The following is a 16,072-nucleotide window of genomic DNA, read 5'->3' on the forward strand; positions in this document are numbered from 1 at the left end:
CTCACTCCAAGCCCGCCTCCCCGGCCCCGCCCGCCATGGCCCAACCTTCATCCGCTCAGAGATAAATCAGCGCGCGAAAGTGGGAGCGAATGTCAGAGTTGACCCCGGCCAGTCACGAGTGCGAACTCAGCTTTCCACTCATGCATTCACACGTTGAATAGGCAGTGTGAGAGAAATCCAGGATGGCTGCTAGGTTTTCAGTCTGAGCAACTAAGAGGATGGTGTTGCCATTGACTGAGATGGGAAGACTGCAGGAGAGGGGCCTGCTTGGGGGTGAAAATGGAGTAGATCAGTTCTCTGTGAGCCGTGGTGAGATGCCCATTAGGCCACTCAGGGGACATGTCAGGTGGGCACTTAGATATGAGACTGAACAGACTGAACATCAGAGATGTCAGGCCTGGAGCAATACACACGGGACTGGCCATGGATAGGTTATTGACAGTTACGAGAGGAGCCGGGTGCGGTGATTCATGCCTGTAATCCCAGCAATTTGGGAGGCCGAGGGGGGCGGATCACTTGAGGTCAGGAGTTCCAGACCAGCCTGGCCAACATGGTGAAACCCCGTGTCTACTAGGTACAAAAAGTAGCCGGGCGTGGTAGTGCATGCCTGTAATTCCAGCTACTCGGGAGGCTGAGGCAGGAGAATCGCTTGAACCCAGGAGGCGGAGATTGCAGTTAGCCAAGATCGCCCCACTGCAATCCAGCCTGGGCAACAGAGCGAGACTCTGTCTCAAAAAAAAAAGAAAGAGAAAAAAAAAGAAAGTTATGAGAGGGTGTGATCGCCAAGGGAGCAAGTGTAGATAGGGGAGAAATGAAGTCCAAGGACTCCACTTTTCTGGACTCCAAAGGGCCTCTCAGACTGTGTACCCGCCAGCCCTTGATGTATCTACTATTTCTCTTTTCCCAGTGTACAGTTGCTTCTTGGAAATGCTGTCGGCCCCTTTGGGGAAAGATTAGGAGCCTACTACTGCAAATATTTGTGGTCTGGAGGGGACCCAGCCTCCCTTTCAGTCAGTGACCTCTGGTTCTGAGGCCTAGCTTAGGCCTGGAAACTGGATGAGGGGTTGGGATTTTCCATCAGCAGCTGCCATTACTGTCCTGTTCGCTCGTTTTTTGTTTTTGATCTTTCTTTGCTTAGCGCAGTCAAGCAGTGTTGGGGCTTCCGTGGCCCCTGGGAATACCGTGGTCTACTAGCATTCACCAGAGACTCCTGTGCGCCCAGGATCCCTGGCAGCCACTCTGGCCTTGCTCCTGTTCTGACAGTCACATCAACCGAACCTCTGCTCTCTGGAATCCTATCTCCTGCTGACCTTTCCGAGCCCGGCTCCAGTCCTATTTGCCCTCTTCTACCCTGGCCTCAGAGGACGGCCATGCCGATTGCCCATTGATGCCTAGACCCCCCACTAGTCAAAGCAGTCTCTGGTGAACCCTCCAGAAATACGGTCATCTGGCTTCTCAGATGTTGCATAATAAATCTGTGCCTGCACATCCCCCTCCCCGAGGCCTTTGGCTCCTTCTCAGTGCCCTGCCACCATCGTTCTGTTATCTCCCTCTCATGTATTGCTTCCACGCTTCAAGGAGCCATCTCGATGGATATCAGGACTGGCCACACAACATCACTTTTTTTTTTTTTTTTTTGAGATGGAGTCTCGCTGTGTCGCCAGGCTGGAGTGCAGTGGCGCGATCTCCGCTCACTGCAACCTCCGCCTCCTGGGTTCAAGCAATTCTCCTGCATCAGCCTCCTGAGTAGCTGGGATTACAGGTGTGCACCACCATGACCAGCTAAATTTCTTATTTTTGATAGACACAGAGCTTCGCCATATTGGCCAGGATAGTCTCGATCTCTTGGCCTTGTGATCCGCCCACCTCGGCTTCCCAAAGTGCTGGGATTACAGGCATAAGCCTTTTTTTTTTTTTTTTTTTTTTTTTTTTGAGACGGAGTCTCACTCTGCTGACACCCAGGCTGGAGTGCAGTGCTGCCATCTCAGCTTACTGCAACCTCCACCTCCCGGGTTCAAGCAATTCTCCTGCCTCAGCCTCCCAAGTAGCTGGGATTACAGGCATGTGCCACCACACCCAGCTACTTTTTTGTATTTTTAGTAGAGACAGGGTTTACCATGTTGGCCAGGCTGGTCTTGATCTCCTGACCTCAGATGATCTGCCCACCTCGGCCTCCCAAAGTGCTGAGATTACAGGTGTGAGCCACTGCACCCAGCCTAGAATTCAAGACTCTTGAGCCCATCTATCCAGACGTTCCCTGCCCTAGGTGACAGTGTCCGCTCCTTCACTTCTGTGCTCCTTGACTGGAGCACAGCACTTAGCACAGCCGTTCATCTGCCCTGATTCAAACTCCACAGTTCTCATCAGGTTCTAGGCCTTTATCAGCACAATGTGACCTGTCTTTAAACACGTCTCTGGAAGCCCCTCCTGATTTTCACCTTGGGCTATAAGTTGATAAATGGCTGTCCTGAGGCCTGTTGTTTTCTTCCTTCAGCCCACTGATGCCACTCGATCAATTAACTCCACTTTCTTTATAATTACCACTGCCCATGTATTTCATGGGTCAGGAATTTGGGCAATGCTCTGCTAGGAGATTTTGTTTCTCCCTGTGGCACTGACTGAGGGCATTTGATGGTATTCAGCTGGCATATGGGCTGCACTAAAGGTTCCAAGTCACTTCACTCACATCGCAGCATCTCAGCAGATGAGTCCGGCATCTCAGCAGGGATGGCTGGTGATAGAGTTTGAGTATTTGTCTCCGCCCAAATCGCATGTTAAATTGTAATCCCCAGTGCTAGAGGTGGGGCCTGGTGGGAAGTGTTTGGATCATGGGGGCCTCATGGCTTGGCGCCGTCTTTGCGTCTTTGCGATCGCGAGTTCTCGCGAGATCTGTTTGTTTAAAAATGGGTGGCTGCTTCACCCCCCACTTTGTTGGTCAGGCTTTCACCATGTGAAGTGACCCCTCACACTTCGCCTTCCACCATGAGTCAAAGCTCCCTGAGGCCTCCCCAGAAGCAGATGCAGCCATGCTTCCCGTACAGCCTGCAGAACCAATTCAACGTCTTGGCTTTATAAATTCCCCAGTCTCAGGTATTTCTTCATAGCAGTGCAAGAATGGCCGAATATGGCTGGGCTCAAGTGGGACTTGTCAACTAGAGCACCCACCCATGGATTTCCTAGCATGTGGTCTCAGTAGTCAACTTTTTTTTTTTTTCCTGCTTGCTGGGAGGAGGAGGAGGGAGAAGCGACGGGCTTCATTAGGAACGGTGAGTTTGCGACTCTGCCGCTAAGTGGCAGCTCCAGCTCACCCCCCCAGCTCCCTCCCACAGGCCACGGCTGGGCATGGAGAACTGGTGACTTCAGAGGCCCGGAGAGAAAAGACGGGGGAGAGCGAGGGGCCGCCGTGCCTGAGGTCTGGGGGTGACAGCAGAGGATGGCCAAGGAGTGCAGGGCCAGGTTGCCCTGCCCTGTCTAAGAGAGTCTTACCGAATATAGAGGTTGAATTGTGCTCCCCAAGAGACATGTTGAAGTATGTTTTTTTTGAGATGAAGTCTCACACTGTCTCCCGGGCTGGTGTGCAGTGGGCGATCTTGGCTTGCTGCAGCCTCCACCTCCCGGGTTCAAGTGATTCTCCTGCCTCAGCCTCCCGAGTAGCTGGGACTACAGGCGTGCGCCACCACGCCTGGCTAATTTTTGTATTTTTTTTTTTTTTTTTGAGATGGAGTCTTGCTCTGTTGCCCAGGCTGAAGTGCAGTGGCGCGATCTCGGCTCACTGAGAGCTCCGCCTCCCGGGTTCACGCAATTCTCCTGCCTCAGCCTCCTGAGTAGCTGGGACTACAGGCGCCCACCACCACGCCTGGCTAATTTTTTGTATTTTTAGTAGAGACGGGGTTTCACCATGTTAGCCAGGATGATCTCGATCTCCTGACCTCGTGATCCACCTGCCTTGGCCTCCCAAAGTGCTGGAATTACAGGCGTGAGCCACCGCGCCCGGCCTAATTTTTGTATTTTTAGTAGAGACGGGGGTTTCACGTGTTAGCCAGGATGGTCTCGATCTCCTGACCTCGTGATCTGCCCGCCTCAGCCTCCCAAAGTGCTAGGATTACAGGCGTGAGCCACCGCGCCCAGCCATGTTCAAGTATTAACCTCTCCCTTCCCCCACCACTCTTCCATTCCTGTGAATGTGACCTGAATATGGAAACAGGGTCTTTGCAAATGTAATCAGGTCCTTTCAACTCAAGATAAAATCATCTTGGATTTAGGGTGGGCTCTTTGTCCAATGGCTGGTGTCCTTATAAGATGCCTAGGAGACACACACAGGAAAGAGGGCCATAGGAAGATGGAGGCAGAGATGGCAGTGGTGAGGCTATAAGCCAAGGGATGCCTGTGGCCACTGGACGCCGGAGGAAGTGAGGGAGGATTCTTCCCTAGAACCTTCAGAGGGAGCACAGCCCTGCCGACACCTTGGTGTTGGACTTCTCACCTCCAGAAATCAATTTCTGTTGTCTTAAGCCACCCAGTTTATATTATTTTGTTACAGCAGCCTGGGAAAAGGAATACACTGAATAAGAACCCAAGTGAGCTTATTAGAAAGAATATTGAGGCCTGGCGCAGTGGCTCACACTTGTAATCTCAGCACTTTGGGAGGCTGAGGTGGGTGGATCGTTTCAGTCCAGGAGTTTGAGACCAGACTGGGCAACATGATGAAACCCCGTCTCTACCAAAAATACAAAAATTGGCTGAGTGTGGTGATGCACACCTGTAATCCCAGCTACTTGGGAGGCTGAGGCAAGAGAATCCCTTGAACCCGGGAGGTGGAGGTGGCAGTGGGCCGAGATTAAGCCATTGCACTCCAGCCTGGGTGACAGAACAAGACTCTGTCTCAAAAAAGGAAAGAATGTTAAACCTCCTCAAGAGGAGGTAAGCGATTTTAAACACTCTGAAGCCACGCAGGGGTAACCCTTTTACAAGCCAAGAGGAGGAGAAGGAAAAATTGAAGTCACTTTTTTTTTTTTTTGAGATGGAGTCTCACTCTGTCACCCAGGCTGGAGTGCAATGGTGTGATCTCGGCTCACTGCAAGCTCCGCCTCCCGGGTTCACACCATTCTCCTGCCTCAGCCTCCTGAGTAGCTGGGACTACAGGCACCCGCCACCACGCCCGGCTACTTTTTGTATTTTTAGTAGAGACAGGGTTTCACCATGTTGGCCATGATGGTCTCGATCTCTTGACCTTGTGATCCGCCCGCCTCGGCCTCCCAAAGTGCTGGTATTACAGGCATAAGCCACTGTGCCCAGCCTCAATTTTTCTTTTTTAATGGTTAAAAAATACTTTCAAATGTCCACACAGTAAAATTCACTTCTTTTGGTATATAGTTCAAATGCATAGAGTCCTATCACCATGACCACAGTCAAGATAGGGAACATCCCGTCACTCCCAGAACTCCCGTGCTGCCGCTGGCAACCACTGCTCTGTTCTCCCGTTGCTTTTCCAGCGAGTCCTGAAAGTGGAATCGTGCGAGTCCAGGTTCTTTCACTGAGCATCGTGATTTGAGGTTCACCCACATTGTTGTATGGTTCCTTTTCATTGCTGAGAAATGTTCCACTGTCTGGATGGAGTGTGGTCTATTTATCTATTCACCAAGTAAAGGATGTGGGCGATTTCCAGGTTTCGACGATTATGAATAAGCTGCTGTAACATTCACGCACAGGTGTTTGTATGAATGGAAGTTTTCACTTCTCTTGGGTGAATACCTGGGAGTGGGGTTTCTGGGTCCCGATCGGGTTTCTAGTGGTCTGTAAGTCAGACTTGCTAAGAGTTTTCGTTGGGGAGACGCACACAGGTAAGGTCAGCTCTCAGGGTCCTTTCTGCAATGCGGGGATGTCGAGGTCACCTGACAGAGGGGCAAATGCCAGCTGGTCGCCCAACCTGCTCTTGTCCGTTCCTTTTCCCTCAGAAGCTAATAGAGGAAAGTAAACCTGTTGTTTCACTCTCATTTCCTTTTATTTTCATTAATATTAGGAAATGCCAAGATTAGTGAAAGAATGAAAAGATGAGTCAAGGCCAGGCATGGTGGCTCACACCCGTAATCCCAGCATTTTGGGAGGCCGAGGCGGGCAGATCACGAGGTCGAGAGATCGAGACCATCCTGGCCAACATGGTGAAACCCTGTCTCTACTAAAAATATAAAAAGTAGCTAGGCGTGGTGGCGCGCACCTATAATCCTAGCTACTCAAGAGTCTGGGGCAGGAGAATCTCTTGAACTCAGGAGGCGGAGGTTACAGTGGCCTGAGATCACGCCACCATACTCCAGCCTGGGCAACAGAGCGAGACTCTGTCTCACACAGACACACACACACACACACACACACACACAAAAGATGAATCAAAACAGCCTAGAAAAGGCTTCAGTGATCCTCAGACTGGATGATCGAATCCCGAATAATGGGGAATCAACAGTAATGGCCTAGTAACACTTTTAAAAAGTCTTCTTTCTTTTTTTAAGAGATGGGGTCTCACTGTGTTGCCCAGGCTAGTCTCAAACTTCCAGGCTCAACCAATCCTCCTACCTTGGCTTCCTAAAGTGCTAATATTACAGGTTTGAGCCACTCAGCCCAGCCCCAAATCCTTATTATATCCTATTTGTTTGCTTTGCATGGAAGTTTATACTTACTTCCATCCCACCCTTAACATAACTGCAGAGGGAATTTCTTTTTTTTTTTTTTGAGACAAGATTTTGTTCTGTCAGCCAGGCTGGGGTGCAGTGGTGCGATCTTGGCTCACTGCAAGATCCGCCTCCCAGGTTCATGCCATTCTCCTGCCTCAGCCTCCTGAGTAGCTGGGACTACAGGCCCCCACCATCACCCCCGGCTAATTTATTTTTGTATTTTTAGTAGCGACGGGTTTTCACCATGTTAGCCAAGATGGTCTCGATCTCCTGACCTCGTGATCCACCCGCCTCAGCCTCCCAAAGTGCTGGGATTACAGGCGTGAGCCACCGCGCCCGGCCCAGCAGAGGGAATTTCTAAAGGCAAAGACTCTGCTCCTGAATTAGGAGAAGGCGTGGCAGCTTCACCTCTTACTGCCTGGGGTCAGGCAGTTCTCTGCAGAGCCATTCTCAAGGAGGTGTCTTAGCTTGACTTGCCCCAAAATAGATGAGGAGCCCCATCTGCCCCATCTAATTACCCTGAGCCCTACTTCTGCCTAAATGCAGCCCTGGCTGAGCTCAGGCTGAGAAGTCCCAGGATCTACAGTCAGCAAGCAAAAGAAAACCAGGAGAGCCGACAGTGTCATTGCAGTCCAAGTCCAAGTTCAAAGGCAGGAGAAGACCAGTATCCCAGCTCAGCTCACAGTCAGGCAGATGGAGTGAATTCTATCTTACTTTTTCTTTTTCTTTTCTTTTCTTTTTTTTTGAGAAGGAGTCTTGCTCTTTCACCCAGGAATATGCTTTAGGCAATGCATAGTATTTCACTGGAGCTTGAATCTTCCTGAGTGCTTTAACTGGTATTTGTCTGTAGTGACTTACCAAAAGCAAGCTTGTAGATGGTCCTAGAATTTAAAACTAAGAAGCCAATCTCCAGGCCATCTGCTGAGGGTGATTAGGATACTGAGGAGGTCCGAGGAGCTAAGTGATGGCACCCAGAGTATACCGCTGGAGTGCAGTGGTGCAATATGGGCTCACTGCAACCTCCGCCTCCCGGGTTCAAGCAATTCTCCCTGCCTCAGCCTCCTGAGTAGCTGGAATTACAGATGCCTGCCACCATGCCCGGCTAATTTTTGTATTTTTAGTAGAGACGTGGTTTCACCATGTTGGCCAGGCTGGTCTTGAACTCCTGACCTCAGGTGATCCACCCGCCTTGGCCTCCCAAAGTGCTGGGATTACAGGAGTGAGCCACCACACCGGGCCTTTTTTTTTTTTTTTTAAGAGACAGACTTTTGCCCTGTAGTCCAGGCTAGAGTGCAGTGGTGTGAACGTGGCTCACTGTAGCCTCGATATCCCAGGCTCAAATGATCCTCTTGCCTCAGCCTCCTGAGTAGCTGGGACTACAAGTGTGCCACGTCTCAATTTTTTTTTTTTTTATGTTTTTGTAGAGATGAGGTCTCGCCACGTTGCCCAGGCTGGTCTGCAACTCCTGGGTTCAAGCGATCCTCCTGCCTCAGCCTCCTGCGTGGTCGGGACTACTGGCATGCGTCACCACACTCTGTCTTTTGTTCCCATCAGGCTTTCAATGGATTGGACAAGGCGCATCCACACTGGGGAGGGCCATCTGTTTTACTCAGTCTACTGATGCAAATGCTTATCTCTTCTGGAAACACCTTCACAGACAGACCCAGAATCATGTTGAACCAAATACTGGGCACCTCATGGCTCCAACAGGTTGACACAAAAAATGAACCATTGCAGAAAACGAAGAACAGTCACCAACTCCCACCCATGCAGCTGGCTCATTTGCTGGGCTGCCCTCCCCAGCAGGTGGCACAGGAATCCCTGCCTTGGCAGGGAGGAGGCCTGGGGTGTGTGCAGGTGCCCATGGGAAGTTTCTTTGCCATGAGGAAAGCCAGAGTGACCCCTTGCTGATCCTGCAAGGGAAGAAGCAGGAGTTTCCTGACACTAACCCCAGAGGCAGAGCCCACATCCACATTCGGCTCAGCAGGCACTGTGCCTGAGGGGCACTGTGGGCCCACAAAAACGTCTTAATTTCTATTAAAACCAGAAAAAAACATGTAACTGATTTATAAGCAGCCCAGCCTGGTTATTTTCATCTTTTTAGCCATGCAGGCATAATATACAATTTTTACTTTTTTTTTTTTTTTTTTTTAGTGGACGAAGGCCCCATGACAGTCATAATGTCCAGGGCTCCCTCCAGCCAGCCGTGTCTGCACGGCTGGGCACCACTTCCTCCGGCCTGGCTGCTGGCACTGTTTCTGGGGCATGCTGCAGGACTCCAGGCCAGGGTGGGGAGGAGGGTAGCACCAGCCAGGGACCGGCTCCCGTCAGCTGAAACTCTGTATCTGGTCTGGTCTGCTCCAAGGGTAGACACAAATTTTGCAGCATTGTTCTCATCTGTGCCCCGCTGCCACCTTCTTGAGTGGGGGCTGCTTTTCCTCCTAGTCCTGGTGCTTTCAGGCCTGGAGATGGGGGTCTGTGTCATCCATGCGAAGGAGTTTCTCTGACCTTCTCTTGCCCTCCTGTCTGTGGCCCCTCATTCTGCCCTGAGGCTGGCCATAGAAACTAGAATCTCTCTTCCTCAGGGTGAGTCATAGAAACCAGAACCCCTTTCCCCCAAACCAGCCATACAACCTAAAATATGACTCTAACTTCCCCTCTGCCCTATCTGTGCAAAAACTGGCCATAAAGAAATTCTCTGGCCTACTTTGTTTGACTGTAGACCATAAGACCCCCATTCCAGGCCAGGCGCCGTGGCTCACGCCTGTAATCCCAACACTTTGGGAGGCTTAGGTGGGTAGACCTGAGGTCAGGAGTTCAAGACCAGCCAGGCCAACATGATGAAACCCCATCTCTACTAAAACCACAAAAATTAGCCAGGCGTGGTGGCATGCACCTGTAATCCCAGCTACTCAGGAGGCTGAGGCAGGAGAATCGCTTGAACCCGGGAGGCGGAGGTTGCAATGAGCCGAGATCACGCCACTGCACTCCAGTCTGGGCCACAGAGCAAGACTGTCTCAAAAAATAATAAGACCCGCATTCCAGAGACTGTCCTCCCCACACTCAGAAGGAAGGAACTCAGCTCAGAGAGGCCAGGAGGAATCTAGCCAGACAGGCCCTGCTGGGTTCCCCACTCCATCTGCTAGCATTAGATCAGATCATTTTTGTCCAATCCTATGTCTCCACAGCTGCCCATACTGTGTTGAACCTCAGCATGAAAATGGACAATTTCCCCTGTATCTTTGGGTCTTCATTCCGAAGTCTCCTGTGACAGGTAAAACTATAATCAAATAAATGCGCATCCCTTTCTCCTATTCATCTGCCTTTTGAGAGTTGATTTTCCGTGAACCTTCAGAGGGCGAAGGGGAAGTTTTCCCTTCACCCCTACATGGTAAACCTGAGTAAGTGTTCCCCTGAGTTCTGAGCCTCTCTAGCAAGTGAATTGAACCCAAAGAGAGGGCTGTGGGAACCCCAATTTACGGCTGGTTGGTCAGAAGCAAACACAAAATAGGCTAGGCACGGTGGCTCACTCCTGTAATCCCAGCACTTTGGGAGGCTGAGGTGGATGGATCCCTTGAGGTCAGGAGTTCAAGACCAGCCTGGCCAACATGGTGAAACACCATCTCTACTAAAAATACAAAAATTGGTGGGGCATGGTGGTGCATGTCTGTAGTCCCAGCTACTGGAGAGGCTGAGGCAGAAGATTCGCTTGAACCTGGGAGGTGGAGGCTGCAGTGAGCCAAGATCACACCATTGCACTCCAGCCTGGGCAACACAGTGAGACCCTGGAAGAAGAAAGAAGAAGAAGAAGAGGAAGGAGGAGGAGGAGGAGGAGGAGGAGAAGGAGAAGGAGAAGGAGGAGAAGGAGAAGAAGGAGAAGGAGAGACTCAAAATAACCTGGGCTTGGGATCAGTTTTGGGAGTGTGGCTCAGGTCTTGTGGGACGAAGTCCTCAACCTGCGGGACCTGAGGACATCTCCAGGTAGACAGTGTTGGGACTGAGTGGAAGCAGAGGACACCCGACTGGTGTCTACTACAGAATTGACTCTGCAGGAAGTCCGTGCAGGAGTCTCCCCCGCCTGCAGAGACTGCACTTGGATGGTGCCCGTGCCCCTGGTGGAAGAAGGAGGAGGAATGAGGAGGAAAGGAGACCCTTGGGTGACCATGGCCAAGGGTGTGAGGGGCAGGTGTGTCCCCCAGCTCACTCTGGAGACTTTTTCCTGGGCTTTCTACCACAGCTAAAGTAAAATGACCATGAACTGGGTGGCTTAAAACAACAGACTTTATTCTCTCACAGTTCCAGAGGCCAGAAGTCTAAAATGAAGGTGTCACATCAAGAAAGGGATCCTTCCTCACCTCTTCTAGCTTCTGGTGGTTCTTGGCTGTTATGAATCGAGTATATGTGTCCCCCCAAAATTCATCTGTTGAAACCCTAACCCCCAGTTAGGTATGGTATTAGGAGGTGAGATCTTTGGGAGGTAACTAGGGTTAGATGAGGTCATGGGGATAGGGCCCCCTGATGCCATGATGGGATGAGTGCCCTTATAAGAAGAGATGGGGGACGCCAGGTGCGGTGGCTCATGTCTGTAATCCCAGCACTTTGAGAGGCTGAGGTGTGAGTGGAGGACTGTCCAGGTGCTGAGGCAAGAGACTGAAAGCACAAACTGTTTCAGTATGATAAAAAAAAAACAGAATAAGAATAATTATGATACAAATTAGATACAGAGATGATCATGGACGTTATCAATCATCAGTATAAACATTATTAATCATTAGCTTTTAATGTTACTCTTTGTAGTATTACTAATATAACCAAGGAATAACTGGCGGATATAGGGTCAGGTGCTGAAGGGACATTGTGAGAAGTGACCAAGAAGGCAAGAGGTGAGCCCTCTGTCACGCCCGCATAAGGGCCGCTTGAGGGCTCCTTGGTCAAGCGGTAACACCAGTGCCTGGGAAGGCACTCGTTCCTCAGCAGACCGTGAAAGGGAGTCTCCCTTTCCTTGGAGGAGTCAGGGAACACTCTGCTCCACCACCTTCTTGTGGGAGGTTGGATATCGTCCAGGCCTGCCCGCAGTCATCCGGAGGCCTAAACCCCTCCCTGTGGTGCTGTCCTTCAATGCTCACGCTCCTTGTCCACTTGCATGCTCCTCCCGTACTCCTGGTTCCTCTTGGAAGTTCTTAGAAGATAGCGGTAGAAGAAATAGTGAAAGTCTTAAAGTCTTTGATCTTTTTGATAAGTGCATAGAAGAAAACGCCGACGTATGCTGCCTTCCCTCTCTGCTTCAGCTACCTATAAGGGAAAGGCTCACTGTCCTATGATCACGTGACTTGCTCGACCTTATCAATCACTTGGACGACTCACCCTCCTTACCCTGCTCCCCTTGTCTTGTATGCAATAAATAACAGTGCGCCCAGCCATTTGGGGTCACTACCGGTCTCCGTGTCTTGGTGGTAGTGGTCCCCCCGGGCCCAGCTGTTTTCTCTTTATCTCTTTGTCTTGTGCCTTTATTTCTTACGATCTCTCATCTCCGCACATGGGGAGAACACCCGCCAAGCCCTGTAGGGCTGGACCCTACATCTGGTGGATCACTTGAGGTCAGGGTTCGAGACCAGCCTGGCCAACATGGCGAAACTCCATCTCTACTAAAAATGCAAAAAATGAGCCGGGCATGGTGGGGGGTGCCTGTAATCCTAGCTACTCCGGAGGCTGAGGCAGGAGAATCATTTGAACTCAGGAAGCAGAGGCTGCAGTAAACTGAGATCATGCCACTGCACTCCAGCCTGTGTGGCAGAGTAAGACTCTATCTCCAAAAAAAAAAAAAGAGACAGGGGACATCATCAATCTCTCTGCCTCTCTCTCTTCACCCCCCTCTGCCATGTGAGGTCCAAAGTAAGAAGGCAGCCATCCTTAAAACCAGGAAGAGGCCCTCACCAGATTGAACCGAACCTTCCAGCACCTTGATCTCAAACTTCCCAGTACCTTGATCTCAAACTTCCCAGTCTCCAGAACTAGGAGAAACAAATATCTGTTGTTTGAGCCTCCCAGTCTACCACATCTTCTTTAGCAGCCACAGCAGACGAAGACACCTGCAATCGCTGCCATTGCCGGGCTTGTGGGAGCATCGCTCTGACCTCTGCTTCCGTCTTCACATGGCTATTGTCCCTCTGGGGCAGTCTCTGTGTCCACCTGTTCCTCTTCTAAGGATGCCAGTCATTGGATGAGGGTGTGTGTGGGCGGCAAGCCACCCAGGTGCCGAGGCAAGAGACTGAGGGCACGAGCTGTTCTAGTGTAATAAAATATATAAAATAATAAGAGTTATACTAGATATAGATCATAGATATGATTATATGTGAATATCATTAATCATTGGTTTGTAGCAATTACTCTTTATTCCAATATTATAATAATCCTTGCTCTACAATTATAACCTGGGAAAAACCAGACCGTACAGAGATAGGAACTGAAGGGGCACTGTGAGAAGTGACCAGAAGACAAGAGTGTGAGCCCTCTGTCACGCCCGGACAGGGCCACCAGAGGGCTCCTTCATCTAGCGGTAATGCCAGCGTCTGGGAAGACGCCCGTTGCCAAGCGGACCGTGGTCTAGTGGTAGCATCAGTGCCAAGGAGAAACACCTGCTACTTAGCAGACCGGGAAAGGGAGTCTCCCTTTCCCCGGGGTAGTTTAGAGAAGACTCTGCTCCACACCTCTTGTGGAGGGCCTAACTGATCGCCCACAGTTATCCGGAGGCCTAACCGTCTCCCTGTGATGCTGTGCTTCAGCGGTCACACTCCTGTTTCACTTTCATGTTCCACTCTGTACACCTGGCTCTGCCCTCTAGATAGCAGTAGCAAATTAGTGAAAGTATTAAAGTCTTTGATCTTTCTGAAAAGAGCATAGAAGAAATAATGACGTAAGCTGTCCTCTCTCTCTCCGCCTCGACTACCTAACAGGGAAGGGCCCCCTGTCTGGTGGACACATGACTCACGTGACCTTGTCAATCATTGGAGATGACTCACACTCTTTACCCTGCCCCTTTTGCTTTGTATCCAATAAATAACAGTGCAGCCAGGCATTTGGGGCCACTACCGATCTCCCCGTCTTGGTGGTAGTGGTCCCCTGGGCCCAGCTGTCTTTTCGTTTATCTCTTTGTCTTGTGTCTTTATTTCTACCATCTCTCGTCTCCTCACATGGGGAGAAAAACCCACAGACCCTGTAAGGCTGGCCCCTACAGGTGTGACCTCATCTGAACTTGATTACAACTGCAAAGACCCTATTTCCAAATAAGGTCACATTCATGGGTACCAGGTAGCCATGAATTTCTTGGGGGCGCTTTCCAACTCAGAGCACCTGCCGTTCCCTAGGCCTCCTCCCTGGCCCAGCCTCCCCCACCTACCCTCATCCGCTCTCTTTGAGCTCCGCGAACCCGGAGCCACCTTCCTAGACCCGCTTTGCTTGATCATGATTCTGCATGTGAGCTGCCCTCCTCCCCATCACCTGCCAGCTCTCCCCCAGCCTGTGATGGCAACTGGACCCATTTTTACCCATACACAGTTTCAAAGCAGACTGAATGCAGTTAAAATTCTCCAGATACTTCCTTTCAGGTCCACATCCCTCTGTAAGTGTTCATCTTAGAAACCCTGGGTAGAGTCTGAGTTTTGTTTTGTTTTATTTTGTTTTGTTGGTTTGTCTTTTTTTCTTTTCTTTTTTTTTTTTTTTTTACATAGAGTCTCAGGCTCAAGTGCAGTGGTGTGATCATGGCTCACTATAGCCCTGACCTCCTTGGCTCAAGTGATCCTCCTGTCTCAGCCTCCTAAATAGCTGGGGTTACAGGCACCTGCCACCATGCCCGGCTAATTATTATTATTATTATTTTTTGTAGAGACAGCGTTTCACCATGTTGGCCAGGCTGGTCTCAAACTCCTAGGCTCAAGAGATCCACCTCCTCAGAATCCCAAAGTGCTGGGATTACAGGCATGAGCCACCATGCCTGGCCTTGATCTTTATACCAGCTAATTGGCATACACACAAGCTCATGCTATGAAATGGTATTTCACACTGTGTGCTGCTTTGCCTTGGGCTCCCTAAAACTTCATCACCCCCCAGCGGACTCTCACTGCTGTGGCCTGTGGCCCTACTCAAGGAGCTCAAGGAGGCCACTAGCCATTTGGAGAAGGAGGTAGTTGGGGCCCTGAAAGTTTACAGGACTTCCTCAAGGCCACAGCAGGTGTGTGAGAAAAGGAAGATGGCCAGCCTGCCTCCACTTCTCTTTCCAATCTCCCACTTTGCCTGAGCTAAGCTCAAGCTCAGGGCCACCCACGTCTTGGAAGGGCTTCCTACCAGCTGGTCTTGTGAGATGAGAGCTGCCCTGCATATCATGCTTGTCATCGCCAAGGACCCCAAGCTCCAGTTAGCTCAAGTCCTAGAGAATGTGCCAGCTACATAGAGCTATGCAGAGCATGGCCCTGGGGATGCGGGATGTTATTGCCCTTGGGTTGGGAAGGAGAGATGAGAGGGAGAATTGGCTGGATCTTAAAATTGTGTTGCACCCCTTCAAACACTCTACCATCTTTGCCTCTGTAGTTCAATATTAGTCTGTTCCTATCTTCTAAACTTGCAAATGAACTTGCATGGCAATAAATCTCTGCACACTCAAAGCCATGATTTCCTCAGCAGGTGGATGCAGAATGCTCGGAGACCTATAATAATCAGCCTTTGGCAACAAGCACTTTTTCTTCTGACTCATTATTGCCGCGTTTTAAGAGGAGAAGGGAGCAACTGCTCTCACGGGGCTACAGAGACACGGAAACACGCTGGGGAGGCTGCTCTGTCACCAGGAAAGACAATGGAATCCATTTAAAATGTCTTATTTTCCCTTGCTCTGCCAAGCAAAAGCATCAGAACCCTTTGGGGAATTCACTTTACAAGGAAACAAAATGAGGCCCCGCATCTGCAGCCTGGCCCTCCCCGCCACCTGCACCCCTTCCTCTGAGGTCCCCGGCTCTGCAGGGGCCGAGCGGGCGGCACCCGCTCCTGGTGGTGGCATTGTTGGGACCCGCTCACAAAACACAGTTGTTCTCTGCAATGGCTCATTTCCCTTTCTGAGACTTTTTGTTTGTTTGTTTGTTTTGAGACAGAGTCTTGCTCTATTGCCCAGGCTGGAGTGCAATGGCACAATCTGGGCTCATTGCAACCTCCGCCTCCCGGGTTCAAGCAATTCTCATGCCTCAGCCCCCCGAGTAGCTGGGATTACAGTTGTGCATCACCATGTTGGGTAATTTATGTATTTTTAGTAGAGACAGGGTTTCACTATGTTGGCCAGGCTGGTCTCGAACTCCTGCCCTCAAGCGATATGCATGCCTCAGCCTCCCAAAGTGCTGGGATTACAGGCAGGAGAATCACTGGAA

At 50.6% G+C, this 16,072-nt stretch overlaps 1 long non-coding RNA gene across 1 annotated transcript in view, besides 8 other annotated features; it reads left to right on the forward strand.

The window, feature by feature from the left end:
- Nucleotides 1–16,072, forward strand: part of LOC124900479 (uncharacterized) — a 31,093-nt gene that overhangs the window by 1,455 nt on the left and 13,566 nt on the right. Inside the window, exon 2 of the long non-coding RNA XR_007068117.1 lies at nt 9,854–9,939. This is a non-coding gene — a long non-coding RNA (uncharacterized LOC124900479). The remainder of the gene's footprint in view (nt 1–9,853; nt 9,940–16,072) is intronic.
- Nucleotides 8–67: a silencer, noted in NCBI's record as "silent region_13829". NCBI's record gives its function as "represses an Ori minimal core promoter by ATAC-STARR-seq in GM12878 lymphoblastoid cells {active_cell/tissue: GM12878}" and the evidence as "EXISTENCE:reporter gene assay evidence [ECO:0000049][PMID:35858748]".
- Nucleotides 248–307: an enhancer, noted in NCBI's record as "active region_19168". NCBI's record gives its function as "activates an Ori minimal core promoter by ATAC-STARR-seq in GM12878 lymphoblastoid cells {active_cell/tissue: GM12878}" and the evidence as "EXISTENCE:reporter gene assay evidence [ECO:0000049][PMID:35858748]".
- Nucleotides 833–1,127: an enhancer, noted in NCBI's record as "tiled region #9885; HepG2 Activating DNase matched - State 1:Tss". NCBI's record gives its function as "activates a minimal TATA promoter and a strong SV40 promoter by Sharpr-MPRA in HepG2 cells {active_cell/tissue: HepG2}" and the evidence as "EXISTENCE:reporter gene assay evidence [ECO:0000049][PMID:27701403]".
- Nucleotides 7,975–8,722: an enhancer, noted in NCBI's record as "H3K4me1 hESC enhancer chr22:42923851-42924598 (GRCh37/hg19 assembly coordinates)". NCBI's record gives its function as "activates a minimal SCP1, AML or CMV promoter by ChIP-STARR-seq in primed H9 embryonic stem cells {active_cell/tissue: H9 hESC(primed)}" and the evidence as "EXISTENCE:reporter gene assay evidence [ECO:0000049][PMID:30033119]".
- Nucleotides 13,314–13,743: an enhancer, noted in NCBI's record as "active region_19169". NCBI's record gives its function as "activates an Ori minimal core promoter by ATAC-STARR-seq in GM12878 lymphoblastoid cells {active_cell/tissue: GM12878}" and the evidence as "EXISTENCE:reporter gene assay evidence [ECO:0000049][PMID:35858748]".
- Nucleotides 13,314–14,036: a biological region, named in NCBI's record as "H3K4me1 hESC enhancer GRCh37_chr22:42929412-42929912".
- Nucleotides 13,536–14,036: an enhancer, noted in NCBI's record as "H3K4me1 hESC enhancer chr22:42929412-42929912 (GRCh37/hg19 assembly coordinates)". NCBI's record gives its function as "activates a minimal SCP1, AML or CMV promoter by ChIP-STARR-seq in primed H9 embryonic stem cells {active_cell/tissue: H9 hESC(primed)}" and the evidence as "EXISTENCE:reporter gene assay evidence [ECO:0000049][PMID:30033119]".
- Nucleotides 14,037–14,537: an enhancer, noted in NCBI's record as "H3K4me1 hESC enhancer chr22:42929913-42930413 (GRCh37/hg19 assembly coordinates)". NCBI's record gives its function as "activates a minimal SCP1, AML or CMV promoter by ChIP-STARR-seq in naive H9 embryonic stem cells {active_cell/tissue: H9 hESC(naive)}" and the evidence as "EXISTENCE:reporter gene assay evidence [ECO:0000049][PMID:30033119]".

The sequence above is a fragment of the Homo sapiens genome, chromosome 22, assembly GCF_000001405.40.
Source record: "Homo sapiens chromosome 22, GRCh38.p14 Primary Assembly".
NCBI classification, from domain to species: Eukaryota; Metazoa; Chordata; class Mammalia; order Primates; family Hominidae; genus Homo; species Homo sapiens.